At 38.8% G+C, this 16,618-nt stretch overlaps 1 protein-coding gene and 1 long non-coding RNA gene across 2 annotated transcripts in view; both read right to left on the reverse strand.

The window, feature by feature from the left end:
- The window catches only part of PIR-FIGF (PIR-FIGF readthrough), a 145,719-nt gene that overhangs the window by 6,317 nt on the left and 122,784 nt on the right, over positions 1-16,618 (reverse strand). Inside the window, exons 10-13 of the long non-coding RNA NR_037859.2 lie at positions 11,202-11,412; positions 6,096-6,286; positions 3,243-3,391; positions 1,161-1,261 (exon numbers count right to left, since the gene is read on the reverse strand). This is a non-coding gene — a long non-coding RNA (PIR-FIGF readthrough). The remainder of the gene's footprint in view (positions 1-1,160; positions 1,262-3,242; positions 3,392-6,095; positions 6,287-11,201; positions 11,413-16,618) is intronic.
- VEGFD (vascular endothelial growth factor D) overlaps positions 1-16,618 on the reverse strand; it is a 38,818-nt gene that overhangs the window by 6,312 nt on the left and 15,888 nt on the right. The window contains exons 2-5 of the mRNA NM_004469.5: positions 11,202-11,412; positions 6,096-6,286; positions 3,243-3,391; positions 1,161-1,261 (exon numbers count right to left, since the gene is read on the reverse strand). Coding sequence (NP_004460.1) covers positions 1,161-1,261; positions 3,243-3,391; positions 6,096-6,286; positions 11,202-11,412 — 652 coding nt within the window. The remainder of the gene's footprint in view (positions 1-1,160; positions 1,262-3,242; positions 3,392-6,095; positions 6,287-11,201; positions 11,413-16,618) is intronic.

The raw sequence follows: 16,618 nt of genomic DNA on the forward strand, positions 1-16,618 counted from the left end.
GTATTCCATTGGGCAGTCTGGTCTGTTCTGGAGAGAGATTTCATTTCAGTATAACAACAGGAGTGTGCCCACCCCTTGGTGCTGCCTCACTGGATGGCGAGTCTCCAAATAACTGATGTATGTTCTGGTAGAGGATGGCTGAACACTTGGTGGGAAGGGTGTAAAGAACATTCAAGATCGGCATGGGCATTTAAACCACATAAATATTAAATTTCCCCACATGCTCTGGGCTGAGCTTTCGTGAAAACATTTAGAAGGAAGCTGAGAGGCAGAAGAATGGAGAGTAGGTTGCTATTTACAGTTTATAGGACAGATTTCTTAGAGTTTAGCCCTTACTGTTCTTGCTTATAGATTATAGTTTAAAACAAGCAAGGTTAAAACTGCATGACTACTTGTGACTTTTTTTTTCTTTCTTTTTTTTTTTTGGTGGAACCATGTAAAGCTCTCTGGAAAATACATTAAAATGCATTCATTTTCAAGCAAATGTTCATCACCCAAAGTCACAGAATTACGGATTATGAGCAATGACAATTTGACTATATCTCATTTTGCTCCCAGCTCCCCTTAGACCAATAGCCATATTTTGCTTTTGCTTTGCCCTAATTCCAGAAAAATTTTCTCTTATTCTCCATTTCTTTTTTCAAATTACTGGCGTGTTTTCATATGATGCAGCTGACAGAAACCAAGTCCAAAATTACTTTATGTTCCTGTGAGACTTTTATACAAATAAATTAGTAAACTGCAGTTGACTAGTATTTAGTTCTGAAGCAGCTTTCATTCAAGTTTAACATCCCCTTTCAATTTCAGTGTTTCAGGATGCTCCAACCACTCTGGGCTTTTCTTTGAGATTAAAAAGCAGAGTGATGCATTGATGGACTTACTATATGATTATGGTACAGAGGGTTCTGGAATCTGACCACTTCTATCACTCTCAGCTGTGTGACCTTGAGGAAATTACTCGATATCTTGGTGTGCCCATTTTGTAATTGTAAAAAAAGAAATAACAATAGTACATTACAGGGTTGTTGTGAGAATTAAATGAGTTAAAACATATACAAGATTTACAACATTGTCTGGTCATACTAAGTACTCAATAACGGTTGCTGCTATTGTTGCTACTTTTATTATTACTGTTATTATTTTACTACTACTATCATTACCTTCTGTTCCAGCAAGTGGATTTTCCTCCTGCAAAACACATTTACATTTGTTGCTATCCCATAGCATGTCAATAGGACAGAGTTTCTTGGAATGGGAACAGCTAGGAAAAGAAAACAATGAACCAGATTTAAAAGCTTTCAAGGATAATCAAAACTTTGGAACATTAAATAAATTCCTGAGTAGATAATAGTTAAGATTTTTTAAATTTATTTTTTGCTTTTTATACTCAGTTTGGAGAAATAAGGTTTTGAGATCTATTGCACAGCATGGTAACTATAGTCAATAATAATAATGTATTTTATATTTCCAAATTGCTAAGAGAGTAAATTTCAAATGTTCTCACCACAAAATGATAAGGATGTGAGAAGAGTTAAGATTTTAAAGGAGCGGGCCAGGTGCGGTGGCTCACGCCTGTAATCCCAGCACTTTGGGAGTCCGAGGCGGGCAGATCACCTGAGGTCGGGAGTTCGAGACCAGCCTGACTAATATGGAGAAACCCCATCTCTACTGAAAAATACAAAATTAGCCGGGCGTGGCGGCACATGCCTGTAATCCCAGCTACTTGGAAGGCTGAGGCAGGAGAATCACTTGAACCTGGGAGGCGGAGGTTGCAGTGAGCCGAGATCTCGCCATTGCACTCCAGCCGGGGCAACAAGAGCGAAACTCCGTCTCAAAAAAAAAAAAGATTTTAAAGGAGCTTAATTTGTATTTATGAACTGCATCTTACTAGATAGTGATTCTGTAATTATAAATATTCTACGTGGAAATGTTTAGAAACTAAACTGTAATTTTGGAAATTGTAATCTTCTTAAGAAGGTATATGTTAAAACTATGCAAATTATAGCTGTCAACAGTTTATTTACGAAAATTAAATATGTTCTAACATACCTCCTAAGATTATTTTCTTTTCTTTTTTTTTTGACGGAGTCTCCCTCTGTTGCCCAGGCTGGAGTGCAGTGGCGCGATCTCGGCTCACTGCAAGCTCCACCTCCCAGGTTCATGCCATTCTCCTGCCTCAGCCTCCCAAGTAACTGGGACTACAGGCACCCACCACCACACCCGGCTAATTTTTTTTTATATTTTTAGTAGAGACGGAGTTGCACCGTGTTAGCCAGGATGGTCTCAATCTCCTGACCTCGTGATCTGCCCGCCTCAGCCTCCCATACTGCTGGGATTACAGGTGTGAGCCACCGTGCCCGGCCCCTAAGATTATTTTCTTTAAAATAAAGATAAAAGCATTGGCCAGAACAGCAGGAACATCTTGAGAATAAATGTTGCTTTTCTACAAGTTTTCTTTTCTGCTGGAGAGAGGCGGGAGGTGTCTTCTTGGTTCAATGTTAACTAATCACCAGCTTACTCTTTTACTTGCCACTCACACAATATATTTATTGCTTTACTTTTGCAAAGTCTAAGTATCTAACTAATGATCTTTTCATTCAGTTACCCTTTACTTGTTTCTTTATATTAAATCCTTTTTTTTCTTCAAATAAGTGATCCTTACCTTTGGTTTTGTCGTTTGTCTTATAAATAATCACAAAATTAATCTCAAGAGAATTTCAAAGCCAAATTAATTTTAAGTCATTTTAATTTAAAATAAGGGTTTTCCATTTGGTAATCTTAAGGGGGAAAGATTAGAAAGTTGCAAAACTCACGTGCTGCTAGTTTTGTCACTCCCCAATGACCCCAGGAATCTTCTTTGTTTTCTCTCATTTCAGGATGTAAATATACAAACAGCCTGAAATAAGTTTTATTTAATGCTTGTTCTGGAACATGTGCTAAATTTGAGGTTACAGCGGTTTTACACCTGCAGTAGACTATGCATATTAAGAACAAACGTGTCTACAAGTAGACATGACAAGCTCATACCACTGAGCGTTTTGGTCCTACCACAATATATATCTAACATCTAATAAAAATATGTATTTGCCAGTTATTACCAGTAGGTTCAGGTTAGAAGCTAAAATATGAATAATTTGAAGATAAATTGATAACTCTACATTAATGAAAAATCCTCTACACACAGTTTTGGCAAGGCAAAAATAAGCATAATCCAGTATAAAAAAAAAAACAAAAGTGCTTACCGATCTTCTTCAGGGATCTGGATGGATCTTCTGATAATTGAGTATGGATGGCGGGGGGCTGTTGGCAAGCACTTACAACCTGTATGATTGGCAACTTTAACAGGCACTAATTCAGGTACTGATGTCAAAGGCACTGATATCTCAAAGAGCTACAGCAGAGAAAGATAACCACAATATATTTTTTTAATTTTATATATCATTTTTAAAGTTGTTCTAGTCTGAATTTTTGCCTTTGTCATTTACGGCAATGACTTTAGCCAAGTTGTCCATTAAGAATGGAACTAAACAGGCTCATCTAACTTTATGAAGTGTTTAAGTTTGGTCAAATCTTTTAACTTTTTGATCATTGATACTCTTGTAAAATGGTACTGTTAATCCCTGCTCCTGCTTTAAATTTGAGTGTAAATCGTAAGGGTTAAATGAGATTAAAGCTATGCAGTTTCTTTAGGATTTTATTAGAATAGATTATTATTCAAACTATTTATTCATCCCTTCTCACACCATCTCTATTGAAGAAATATAGTTTCCTGTCTCTTGACTTTTTATTTGGCCATGTCACTTTCTTTGGCTAGTGGGATGTTAGCAGACATGACAGAAGTACAAATTTGAACTGTGCATGTTTTATGGGGCTTGTTTTCTCAAACTTATGCTATAGCCATGAAAAGAACATAATCCGGCAGGCTTGCTGGTCCAAGCGATGGGAAACATAGAAGTTGACTTGGACTCACACTGCAGCTTAGAGTCAAGCCCAGCTGAATCCACCCTAAACTAACTGAACCTCAGATACATAAGTGAGAGTAAATCATTGTTGTTTGGAACCACTGAGTTTTAGTGTGTTTGTTACGTAGCACTGTGTATTAATAGCTGACTGATACAAGATCATCATGCCCAAACAAATAATTATAGCTAACATGTATATCATTCTTTCTACGCTTTCCGTAGGCCAGGCCCTGTTGTAAGTGCTTTCATGTTAACTCATTTACCCCTTATAACAACATTATGGGGTGGGTTTTTATTATCCCCATCTTACAGGTGAAGAAACAGATGTACAGAGAGATTACACAACTTTCTTGAGTGGTTCTATGATGTGTGGATGAGTTTGAAGTTGATTTTAATGCATTGTCTATTCAATCACCATTCCATGTAGTCCTTACTACATAGAGTATTCATTTGTTCACTTTGTTTCTAAGAGGTGGTTTGCCAAATAGTCCATAACTTTGGGGCGAGAGATAGTTTTTAAAAAACTACTATTAAAATGTTCAAAAATGCATATTTGGAAGAAAAACTGCTGTACACTTACACTTAAGTACATTGTATGAAATTAATCATTTGTTGAGTACAGCAGTCAAAATAAAGTACTCAACTATCTATTAAGTGGAAGCAATCCATTAAGGTTGTGTTTATTCTGACATCTCAATATGTAATGGAACTTCCATGAGTCTCAGTGAGAGTGTTTTTGTAGTGTTTACTTTGCATAAACTTCATCTTCTTGCACAATTTTTTGGCTATGCTCTAGGGAATCACATGATCATGAACTAAACCCTCTTACGTTATGCAAGCTTTTTTTCTACTCAGAATTGATGCTTAGCCCTACTTGGGTCATTTTTTTTTCCTAATTGTCAAATAGTAGAGGTTAAAATACACACAAGCTCCAAGATTCTCTAAAAGAATTTAGAAAAAGAAACTCTGCAGTTTAAAGGATATTTTAGAGGGTGGAGGAACAAAATTAAGGATAAGTAAATCTATTAACAAAACAAATCAGCATTAAGAAAATTACCTAACATGGATATATTCAGTGCATGTAATTTTCTTGTACTACCTCTTTTTGCAGTTAAAAGGAGAATAAACCATATAGGCAAACTGACAATTAAATAAGTATATCAACATTCAAAGAATTTGCAACAGATACCAAAAATAATGTAGTTTGATGTACAGTTTTTTAGTATTGCTTTCCCAAGTTTGTTACTACTGCTCTCATATGCGACATTTATTAAAAACATGGTAACCAGAGAAAGGAAAACTTACCTACTAAGCAAAGGGAAATTTATAAGATGAAGAGGGCTGAATTATTTCTTTCATGGGGACTGCAGAATTATTTCCAAATGTCTTTTGTGCTAGATATTCTCTCTTTGCCCCTCCAGAGACACCATCCTCTCCCCTTCCTTCCCCATCAGGCTCTGTGCCCCAGGACGCTGCCCTCCATGGGCTACATCTATAAACCCTCTTGCCTCTCCCAGCCCCTGCCCCTACTCCCTGCCAGGCTAAGAGTTGACAGTGGCCAGTCCAGAAACCCTCTTCTCCGCTTTCCCTCTGGGTTCCCATAACTGCTCCCTCCCCTTGTCTCCTCAGTCGAAGGGTGGGGAAATCTCACCCTTTTTGCTAGCTTCAGGTGCTTCACTGTCCCATCCCTCTTTCCCCAATTCTGCCCACAACCTTCATTAAATTTTTCTCAATCACTCCATTTGAGCAACACAGAACCTGCCATCAGCTATCTTCATTCCTTTTAACATCCTGTCCTAGTAACTTCCATATGGTTTTCTGAGTCTTGACATCATAGCATCAGAGAGACAATAACTGATAAGAGTTCAGGCTCTGGCCTCCCACAGACCTGGGTTTGAATCCCAGCTCTGCTATTTATCAGCCGTGTAAACTTGGATAAGTAAGTTACCTCTCTGAGCCTCAGTTTCCTCATCTATAAAGGAGCATAAAATACCCTCTTGATTTGTTTCAAAGATTAAATGCGATTATGCACATAAAGCATTTAGTACAGTGTTTAGCAACAAGGTTGTTGTAGCTATCAACACTATTATCATCAGGGCTTTAGAGACGGCAGGCTTGCCGATGTCCTTATACCTGTTTGGAAATGTACGAGGTGCTGGTGTTCATACAGATAAGGCTCTCTTCATTGCAACAGCCACCACATCGGAACACGTTCACACAAGGGGGCTTGAAGAATGTGTTGGTACTCTTCCCCAGCTCACTGGCCACCTCCACGCACGTTTCTCTAGGGCTGCACTGAGTTCTTTGCCATTCTTCATCTATAACTGCAGAGAGAAAGAAAGCTCACTGGGGCTAGCAGGTGGAATGGTCCTGGTGTGCCAACATGTGCCAGGGTTATGCTGAACACAGTCATTTTCACATTTCTACTGCTTGTTTCTTTTACTAGATGGATATTTTTTGTCAGTCCTTTAACCAAAGATTGTTTGCAGAGAAGTTACAACCAATCTCTGTGCTCTTTCCCATTTATACCATACCTTGTAGAATATAAGTATTTTATTTCCCTTTGAGGTAGAACACCATGTCCTGTACATAATTACACTGAATACATCTGGAGAAGCTGGTTAATAGGGAAGTAAATAGAAGCGTGTAAAGAAATAACATGTAAATATTATTTATCAAGCAATTTATAGGATACAGCTGGATAGCATTTCTTCTGCTTTAAAGCCAGGTGTAGGTAGGTTTTAGCATCATCAAGAAATATGTTTCTGTTGGTTGCTTAAGTAACTACAGTAGGATTTAAACTTGGCAAACGCATAAATGGAAATTGAAGTGAAACTAATCCTTACTCAAATCAGAGTTTTCTCATTTGCAAGTGCCCGATACTGATATTTATGTAAATGATGAAATAAGCCTGTTCTTATTACTGGAATGAGCAATCCTTTGACCATAGTTAATTTGAAGGTAACAAAAAAAGAAGCCTATGGGAATAAAAAAATTATATACTTTCTTGTAAAACAGTACTTGCTTTTCTCTCATAATTTATTTTTTAAATTAGATTTTGACCCTTTGATACTTAATGCTGCATAGCCTTTCTACAGGTGTTTTGGGGGAAAGATTCAATTTTATGATAAAGACAACACAAAGACTTCCTTGTAGCTTGCCATGGAACTGTAGAGTTTATTTATTATGTGTGGGGTTGTGGTGCTGGTGAAAATCTCTTGTGGTAGGCAGCTTTGAAACTAACCCCCAGTGGTCCCCATCTCCTGATAGTCATGCCCTTGTGTAAATGCCTTCCCCTCGTGTGTGAGCTGAACCTAGTAACTTGCTTCTTATGAAGAGAATACAGCAAAAGTGATGGGATACCACTTCCATGATGAAGTTAAAAAAGATTGCAGTCTTGTTTCTACTTATTGCAAGCTCCCTTCTTTCTTACTCTGTCTCACTTTCTCACACACACTCTCTCTCTCTCTCTCCTCCTTCTCCACTTGCAGGCTTTTTTTTTTTTTTTTTTTTTTAGCTTATTTTACTTTAAGTTCTGGGATACATGTGCAGAACGTGCAGGTTTGTTACACAGGTATGCATGTGCCACGGTGGTTTGCTGCACCCGTCAACCCGTCATCTAGGTTTCAAGCCCCGCATGCATTAGGTATTTGTCCTAATGCTCTCCCTCCCTTTGCCCCCCACCCACCAACAGGCCCTGGTTTGTGATGTTCCCCTCCTTGTGTATATGTGTTCTCATTGTTCAACTCCCACTTATGAGTGAGAACATGCGGTGTTTGGTTTTCAGTTCTTGTGTTAGTTTGCCGCCATGTTAGAAAGGTCCACACGACAAGGAACTTGAGGCAGCCTCTGGCCAATAGCCAGCGAGGAACTAAGACCCTCAGTCCAACAGCCTGTGAGGAATTGAGTCCTGCAAACAACAGCTGACTGAACTTGAAAGCACACTCTGCTTCAGCTGTGCCCTAAGATGCCTGCAGCCCAAGCCAACATCTTAACTGCAGCCTCCAGAGACATCTGAAGCAGAAAAACTGATCTAGGCCATGTCAGCATTTCTGGCCCACAGAAACTGAGATAAATATTGTTTTAAGTAGCTAAGTTTTGTGGTAATGTGTTATGCAACAATAGGCAAACTCTCCTTTATTTTTACTGCATTTTCAAGAACTCTCCTGAGATTATCCTGAATTCCCATATAGGGGAATAGAAGGAATAGAGAAAACGTCTGCTTGAAGTATACTGATACAATATTACCATTTGAGATGTGACCCTAGTCCCTAAATTATTCCCTTATAACATCTTCTCCATTCCTTTCTCCTTTTTCATCCCTTAATACCAATTTTTTTCATATGTTGCTTCTTCAATCACTGAAAACATAATATGAGTTGTCTGGAGCACTGCATTATACTACACAGTCTACCTAAACTTTGTTTTTTTTTATTTTTTTCCTCATAATAAAACATTCTATCCTGAGAAACTTTTTTTTTTTTTTTTGAGACGGGGTCTCACTCTGTTGCCAGGCTGGAGTGCAGCGGCGCGATCTCGGCTCACTGCAACCTCCACCTCCTGGGTTCAAGCGATTCTCCTGCCTCAGCCTCCCAAGTAGCTGGGATTACAGGTATGCGCCACCATGCCCAGCTAATTTTTGTATTTTTAGTAGAGACGGAGTTTCACCATGTTGGCCAGGCTGGTCTTGATCTCTTAACCTTGTGATCCGCCCACCTCAGCCTCCCAAAGTGCTGGGATTAAAGGCGTGAGCCACTGTGCCCAGCCCCCAAGAAACCTTTTTAAAAATTTCTGATTATTAATATTTATATAAAAAGCCTGAAGGCTGAACACATGAGAGATAAATTACTCAATTAAGTATTATTATGGTTATTATTTAATTCACTATAATTAATCATGAATCCTTGAAAAAACAAGAAACCAACCTATGAAAATATTCCCAATTTAAAATTCTACTTAAAGGTTGCTTTCCATTTGCTTTTTCTCTTTTTATAAAACTAAGTTTTGAAATTGGAGTGGTAAGCTTTTAATCAAAATCATATGCAATTATGACCAACATCACTGATTAAAGGCTTCATAACTCTACTATTCTTTACTGCTTCCCAGCAGGACTGCTCTGCCTCAGGAAATTACCTTGAAATCCACAAGGGAGAGTTGATAACAAATTCTAATTGGTGTAACATGCTGATTTCATTATTGACTGCTTCTAACTTAGTAAATAACTTCAGATGATCCCCTAGAAATTACGAGATAAATTCATAGGGTTTGCAAATTCCGTGATATTTTAATGGTTTTCTCCTTAGAAAATGTCAATGTCATTGACTTTTTTTAGATCACCTAGTCTTGGTTTTATGGTAACGTTCATGTTCATGAAATAGCTCCAGGTTCACCTCAGGCCTTCAGTCAGGTAATCTGGTTAAGGCCTTTGACCTCTAGATGAGGTGCCAACCCTTTGTTCTCATGAAGGCTATATTAATTCACCACATAGAAACATCTAGAGCTTCAAATTTCTGTCTGAAGTGAGCTCGAGGCTATGGTTCCTACCACATCAACTCACTTAGACACACAGTCATACACATGAACACTAAGAATCCTCTTCACACTCATGCCCAAGGTGCTACCAAAGAATATGTCCCCATCTATGCACAGCTCTCCCCACAGCCAACAACAGAGGTCTGTGCAACCCCAACATCTTTTTACAAATGGGAAAAAACAAATACAATTTTAGGTAGAAAGAAAAAAATAGTTTTGGCCTAGTGGTTAATTTGAATTATGCTATATATATAGTCAGTTACCAGGTAATCATGTTAATCAAATCTAGAATGCTAGATCAGCAATGCTGTAGCAGCTTCTTGTGTTGTTTTGACATGACATCAAAAAATTAAGTGCCTAATCAGAAACCACAGAACTTTACTTGACAAGCATTTTATTCATTATGACAGTACCTACTCACACTGGTTTTCTTTCTTTCTTTCTTTGTTTTTTTGTTTTGTTTTGTTTTGTTTTTTTGTTTTTTAAGATGGAGTTTCACTCTTGTTGCCCAGGTTGGAGTGCAATGGTGCAATCTTGGCTCACTGCAACCTCCGCCTCCTGGGTTCAAGTGATTCTCCTGCCTCAGCCTCCCAAGTAGTTGGGATTACAGGCATGCACCGCCATGCCTGGCTAATTTTGTATTTTTAGTAGAGATGGGTTTTCACCATGTTGGTCAGGCTGGTCTCGAACTCCTGACCTCAGGTGATCCACCTGCCTCAACCTCCCAAAGTGCTGGGATTACAGGTGTCATCCACCACACCTGGCCTGATTTTCTTTTAAAGAATCTTCATACGTTACTAGGGAACGATCATTATCCTTATTTCAAATTATGTTATTTTCTAGTCTGGAGTTTTGATCATTTTGTCTTGAGAATTTTCTCCCTTCATTATTCTCCTAGCAATACCAGTACCCAATATTACAACTCAGTGTCTAACTTTTACTTTTCACTTTTACTAAAAAATCACACAACTTTGCAGAAATAAAAAAAAAAGCTATACCTAATCTATTGGTTCGGGGAGGGGGTGGTTTTTTTGAGACAGGATCTTGCTCTGTTGCCCAGGCTGGAGTGCAGTAGCATGATCATGGCTCACTGCAGCCTCGACCTCCTGGGCTCAGCCGATCCTCCCACCTCAGCCTCCCAAGTAGCTGGGAATACAGGCACGTACCACAATGTTCAGCTATTTTTTTCTATTTTTTTGTAGAGATGGGGTCTCGTCATGTTGCCCAGGCTGGTTTCAAACTCCTGGGCTCAAGCGATCTGCCGTTCTTGGCCTCCCAAAGTGCTGGGATTACAGGCATGAGCCACCATGCCTGGCCATCTTTGGTTTTTGTCTATGTATGTATGGCAGTAGAATACTCCTTGTGGATGAATCCCCAGGTTTTATTTTCTAAGTAAACCTGATGATTGTTTTTCTATTGAGAACAATAGTCTTCCTGGGTTTTCTTTGCCCCCACATCCTTGAGTTAAATTTATTTCTATATTTTGAGATGTTCTTTTGTGTTTTTTATCTCAAAATCATATTGAATATATTTCTCTGTGAAGTAAACATTAAAAAATCAAGATTCTGCACTAATACTGGAAATCAAAGACCGACTTTCATTCTCCCTCTGACACGTGTCTGCCCTACGCAGACTTTTGGAGAAAGTAAGTGTGTTTGTCACTATCTAATAAAGAGAAAGAATTTGTCTCCACATCCACACACCTACCTTTTAGTGTTTCAATGTCATAGAAAGTTGCCGCAAACCTAGTGGACCGATGGGATGCTGAGCGAGAGTCCATACTGGTAAAACTTTTGAGCCTCAGCCTGCATCTCCACAGCTTCCAGTCCTCAGAGTGAGTAATTCGAAGTAGTTCCTCCAAACTAGAAGCAGCCCTGATCTGCTGTTCAGATCGTTCCAATGTGGACTGAGATGATCGCTTAAAAAAACAAAAATACCAGTTTAAAAACAAGTTACTAAATTTTAAATTTGTCATAATAATCTTCATTTCTGACACTTAGAAGTGTAAATACATCTGTAATTAGAGATACTATTGAAACGTATGCCAGTGCCTAGGAAAAAGGATATCTTCTAGTATTTTTGGTTTACATTCTGCTCATTTTTGATTGAATCAGAGGATTTACTTATTCTTCCTGGGTTCTCAGAACACTTACAAAGAAAATTGTAGTGCATTGAATGGTGGGCCTCAAAATGATATGTCCACATCCTAACCCACAGAACCTGTGAACATTACCTTAATTTGGACAAAGGATCTGTACAGATGTAATGAAGTTAAGGATCTTAAAATGAGATCCTCCTGGATTATCTATGTGGACCCTAAATACTGTACAATGACAAGTGTCCTTATAAGAGACAGAAGAGAAGACAGGGACACAGAGGAAGGTCATTTGAAGATGGGGGCAGAGACCGGAGTGATGCAGTGACAAGCGGGGGATTGCCTAGAGCCATCAGAAGCTGGATGAAGCAAGAAAAGATTCTCTCCAAGAGTGTTTTGAGGGCGTGCAGCCTTGCTGACCCTTCCATTTTGGAATTCTGGACTCTGGAGCTGTGAGAAAATACATTTCTGTTATTTTAAGCCACCAAGTTTGTGATAATTAGTTATGGCAGCCATAGGAAACGAAAAGATGTTTATCATATTATTTTTGTGACAGTAGCTACTGACAGTTGTTTTCATCTCTGTTATTTGTTTGAGAAATTGATCCACAAAGGCCTGGGTAACCTGACTACAGTCACAAAAAAAAGATATCAAGCCCCTGATAACCTGAATTTTCTTACTTCTAACTCTCTTTGTTTTCTTTTAAAACCTACTATTTCAAAAACATGATTTTTTTCTGACAAAATACTTTTCTGGGGTTTTACGCTCTAGAAGTATAAGAGTTTAATATTCTTATGGAGCTATCAAATACTCTTCTAGAGTTTGCTTTCCATACAGTTGCATGAACTGTATTGGCGGATACAGTGCAACTGTATTGGATGGGTTTGTAAGAAAAAAAAGACTTGGTAGATAAAAGATTTTCAGTATGTAGCCTCTTGTTCAAAATTGGGGGCTTAGTTATATAAATAATGATATATGCATACAATGAATTCTATGTGATCATCAAAACAAAGGATGTAGAGGTATATTGGGACAGAACGAATTGAGATCCTTCCTGGAATGTGCTGGAGAAATGATAAGGTGATCTATCTATGGCTAGGGCCTCCGATTTTCTCTTGCTGACCCGGTAGTTACTAGATGTTTGTTTTGCTGGGTGGTTGGAATATGCAGGCTGAGGCCATTTGTAGAGCTGGGATGAGGGAGGAGGCAAAGGACCAGTGCTGAGAGAGGAGGGTGGAAGGGAAAGGTGAATGTCAGCTGCCTGCTGCAGGGCGAGGAACAGTGAAGGAAAACAAAGATGAGCAAAAGGGGCTGTTAAAAGGCTTTGCATTGGGTAGTGTGATGTACACTCTCCTCCACTGAGCCTCAAAAGCTGTAGTTAAAATCTACATCATGCATTAGCATTTTAGGAGGAGAAATTTTTTTTAGACATGCTAGTGGACACTGAGAGTTGTCCAAAAATGGGTACTCAGAAGAGCAAGTGTGGTCTAAGTCATGTGTGATTCAGCTATGATATAACCTCTTTTAAAATTACTTATGTATTTTTACTTATGCACTTATGTACATCATATATACATACTTATATGGATATATGAGGAACATCTGGAGACATATACATGAAAATGTAAACAAAGGTTATTCTTTATTTATTTTCGAGACCGAGTCTGGCTCTGTCATCCAGGCTGGAGTGCAGTGGCACCATCTCCGCTCACTGCAACCTCAGCCTCCCAGGTTCAAGCGATTCTCCTGCCTCAGCCTCCTAAGTAGCTGGGACTACAGGAGCCTGCCACCATGCCCGGCTAATTTTTGTACTTTTAGTAGAGATGGGGTTTCGCCATGTTGCGCAGGCTGGTCTTGAACTCCTGGGCTCAAGTGATCTGCTCGCCTTGGCCGCCCAAAGTGTTGTGATTACAGACATGAGCCGCTGCGCCTGGCCAACAATGGTTATTCTTTAGATCAAGAGCTGTCAAACTATGACCTCCCAGCCTAATTTAGCCTGCTGCCTGCCTGTTTTTGTAAATCAAGTTGTATTGACACACAGCCATGTCCATTCATTTACTTATTGTCTACGGCTGCTTTCATACTACAAAAGCAGAGTTGAGAATTTGAGACAGAGACCTTCATGGCAGTTTCAATCTGAGGCCACTTGTCTTTTTTATTCTCAATTCTTTAATATTCTCAGCCATTATCATTTTCATTATTCCACCTATAATATTGCCTCTACTCTCTTTTTTGAAAAATGTTGGAGGCTTTTAATCATCTTACATGTCTCTTAAATGTGCTTTTATATTTAGCTATTTTTTCCTCTTCACCTCTCTCTAATGTGTTATGGGTAAATTAATTGGTTCATCTTTCCAATCACCAACTCTCCAATTGTTGTGAGTCTAGAGTTTACTTTGTTAAGGTTTTAATTTCAATCACCGTATTTCTAATTTCAAGCATTTCTACTTCATTCTTCTTCCTATCTACTTTCTGTTACATTTCTGTATATTCTTCCTAGTTTGTTTGTTTGTTTGTTTGTTTGTTTTGAGACCCAGTCTCATTCTGTTGCCCAGGCTAGAGTGCAGTGGCGCGATCTCGGCTCACTGCAAGCTCCACCTCCCGGGTTCACGCCATTCTCCCTCCTCAGCCTCCTGAGTAGCTGGGACTACAGGCGCCCACCACCACGCCCGGCTAATTTTGTTTTTGTATTTTTATTAGAGACAGGGTTTCACCGTGTTAGCCAGGATGGTCTCGATCTCCTGACTTTGTGATCCACCCACCTCGGCCTCCCACAGTGCTGGGATTACAGGCGTGAGCCACTGCGCCCTGCCCCTAGTTTGTCATTTCAATTTTATGAATATTATTTCTTTATCTCTTTGAGGGTTGCAAATATTTTTAAGTATTTCTTCAAATTATTTTAGATTTTAACTTTATAGGTATGACATATACTGATTATTCATTTTGTTGCTGTCATTCTTAGTAATAATTATATTAACGTGATTTGGAATTTTGGTTAGTAGTTCCATTTTCATTCAGAGATTCATTTTTCTTTCTCATTATTCTTTCTCCAACATTTAGAAGTTTTATGGTTGTACCCCATAATACCCTGGGTCCTGAATCCGAATCTTGTTGAGTATTTATGATTCAGGGATCAGCTCAGCTCACGTCCTAGTTGCAAGGAAGTATCTGCTTCCTCCTTTGCCCCGTTAAGTAATTTCATAGAAGTCACAGCTCCAGGCAGCAATGAGCAGTAACTCTTCCTTCCTCTTTCATGGATCTGATGTAGTGCACTAAAAGAGCCGATTTCCAACTGAAGCTAAATTTTTGATGGCCCCTGTCTTCTAGCCCAGATCCATAAGTCCTGCAGCTTCAGCTTCATGGCTTTAGTGCCATTTCTGTAAATGATTGTCATCTGCAGATGTTTGCCATCATTCAATCAATTTTATATTCTGTGGACTAAGAACGATCTGAAAATATGAATCTACAAGGTTATCGCACTTGGGAATCCAGATGTGAGTGTGTGTCTGTGGGTGCATGTTTTTAATAAAAGCGGGAGAATTATAAGCTGGGGGAAAGAGGCAACAGACAGGAAGAAAGAAAAAGCATATGCAGGAGAGCTAAGGCAGGACCTAGAGGGGTTGTTTTGACATAAGTGCCAGAGATAAGTGGATGTAGTGTGACTAGATGAGAGGATCACTGTCAGAAACAAGAGGAAAATACAGAATGACATGGGTTTGTAGATGGCAAGACTGCCTGGGAAGCTCAGTGAGCTCATACCTGTGATTTCTCACTTTTCGATAAAGTTTGAATCAAGGCAAAATTGTGGGAGTGAGAGGAGTGGGGAGCATGAGGATCATAGATCGGGTTTGTGAAATTGGCTTGCCACAGCTTCTTCATCTAAGAAATCTGGAGATGAAACTGAACAATTGCTAATGTCTCTGGCAGCTTTGAAATTCAATGCTTCTCCATTAAGTCTTATTTGTCAATAGTCTCTCTTTTCCTGATTATTCATTCTCTTCTAGTTGGACAGTACTCCATATACAATTCAGTCTTCAAAATAAAACTTTGTGACAATGCTGCTTCCACGTGAAAATAATGAAACCAAGCAGCTTTTTAAAGATTTTAGAGTTGAAGCATATTGAAAGGATTTTTATGTATTGAGGCAAATTTCACTCAATATTATCCAAAAATACAAGGCCAGGCATGGTGGCTTACACTTGTAATCCCAGCACTTTGGGAAGCCGAGGTGGGAGGATTGCCTGAGCCCAAGAGTTCAAGATCAGACTGGAAACATGGTGAGACCCTGTCTCTACTAAAAATACAAAAATTAGCCAGACATGCTGGTGCATGCCTGTACTCCCAGCTACTCAGGAGACTGAGGTGGGAGAATCACCTGAGCCTGGGGAGGTCAAGGTTGCAGTGAGCCATGATCTCGCCACTTGCACTCCAGCCTGGGCAATGGAGCACGATCTTGAAAAAGAAAGAAAGAAAGAAAGAAAGAAAAAGAAAAAGAAAGAAAGAAAGAAAGAAAGAAAGAAAGAAAGAAAGAAAGGAAAGAAGAAAGAAAGAAAGAAGAAAGAAAGGAAAGAAAGAAAGAAAGAAAGAAAAGAAAGAAAGAAAGAAAAGAAGGAAAGAAAGAAAGGAGAGAAAGAGAAAGAAAGAAAGGAGAGAAAGAGAAAGAAAGAAAGAAAAGAAAGGAGAGAAAGAGAAAGAAAGAAAACAGGCAGATGTATGGTTTTATTATAGTTCTTACAGGATTCAATTCAATCTTAGAAATATTTTTAAACTATCCAACTGTGAGAACTCAGGAGAAAATATCAAATCTCTGGATTGAATTAAAGTAATTAAATGGCTCATACAACTTGCCTCATCATAAAAAATGCAGTGTTTACTCAAGTACTCAGAGTTATTTAAGCTTACTTTCAACCCCAGAATTTAAAACCTAGTTTGAAATAACAGAAATTGCAGACAGTCATTTTGCTATTTTAAGTGGAAGTACTAACAATTAAACTTAAGTAGAAACCTGACAAGTAATTCATCAAGGGCA

The sequence above is a fragment of the Homo sapiens genome, chromosome X, assembly GCF_000001405.40.
Source record: "Homo sapiens chromosome X, GRCh38.p14 Primary Assembly".
NCBI lineage: Eukaryota > Metazoa > Chordata > Mammalia > Primates > Hominidae > Homo > Homo sapiens.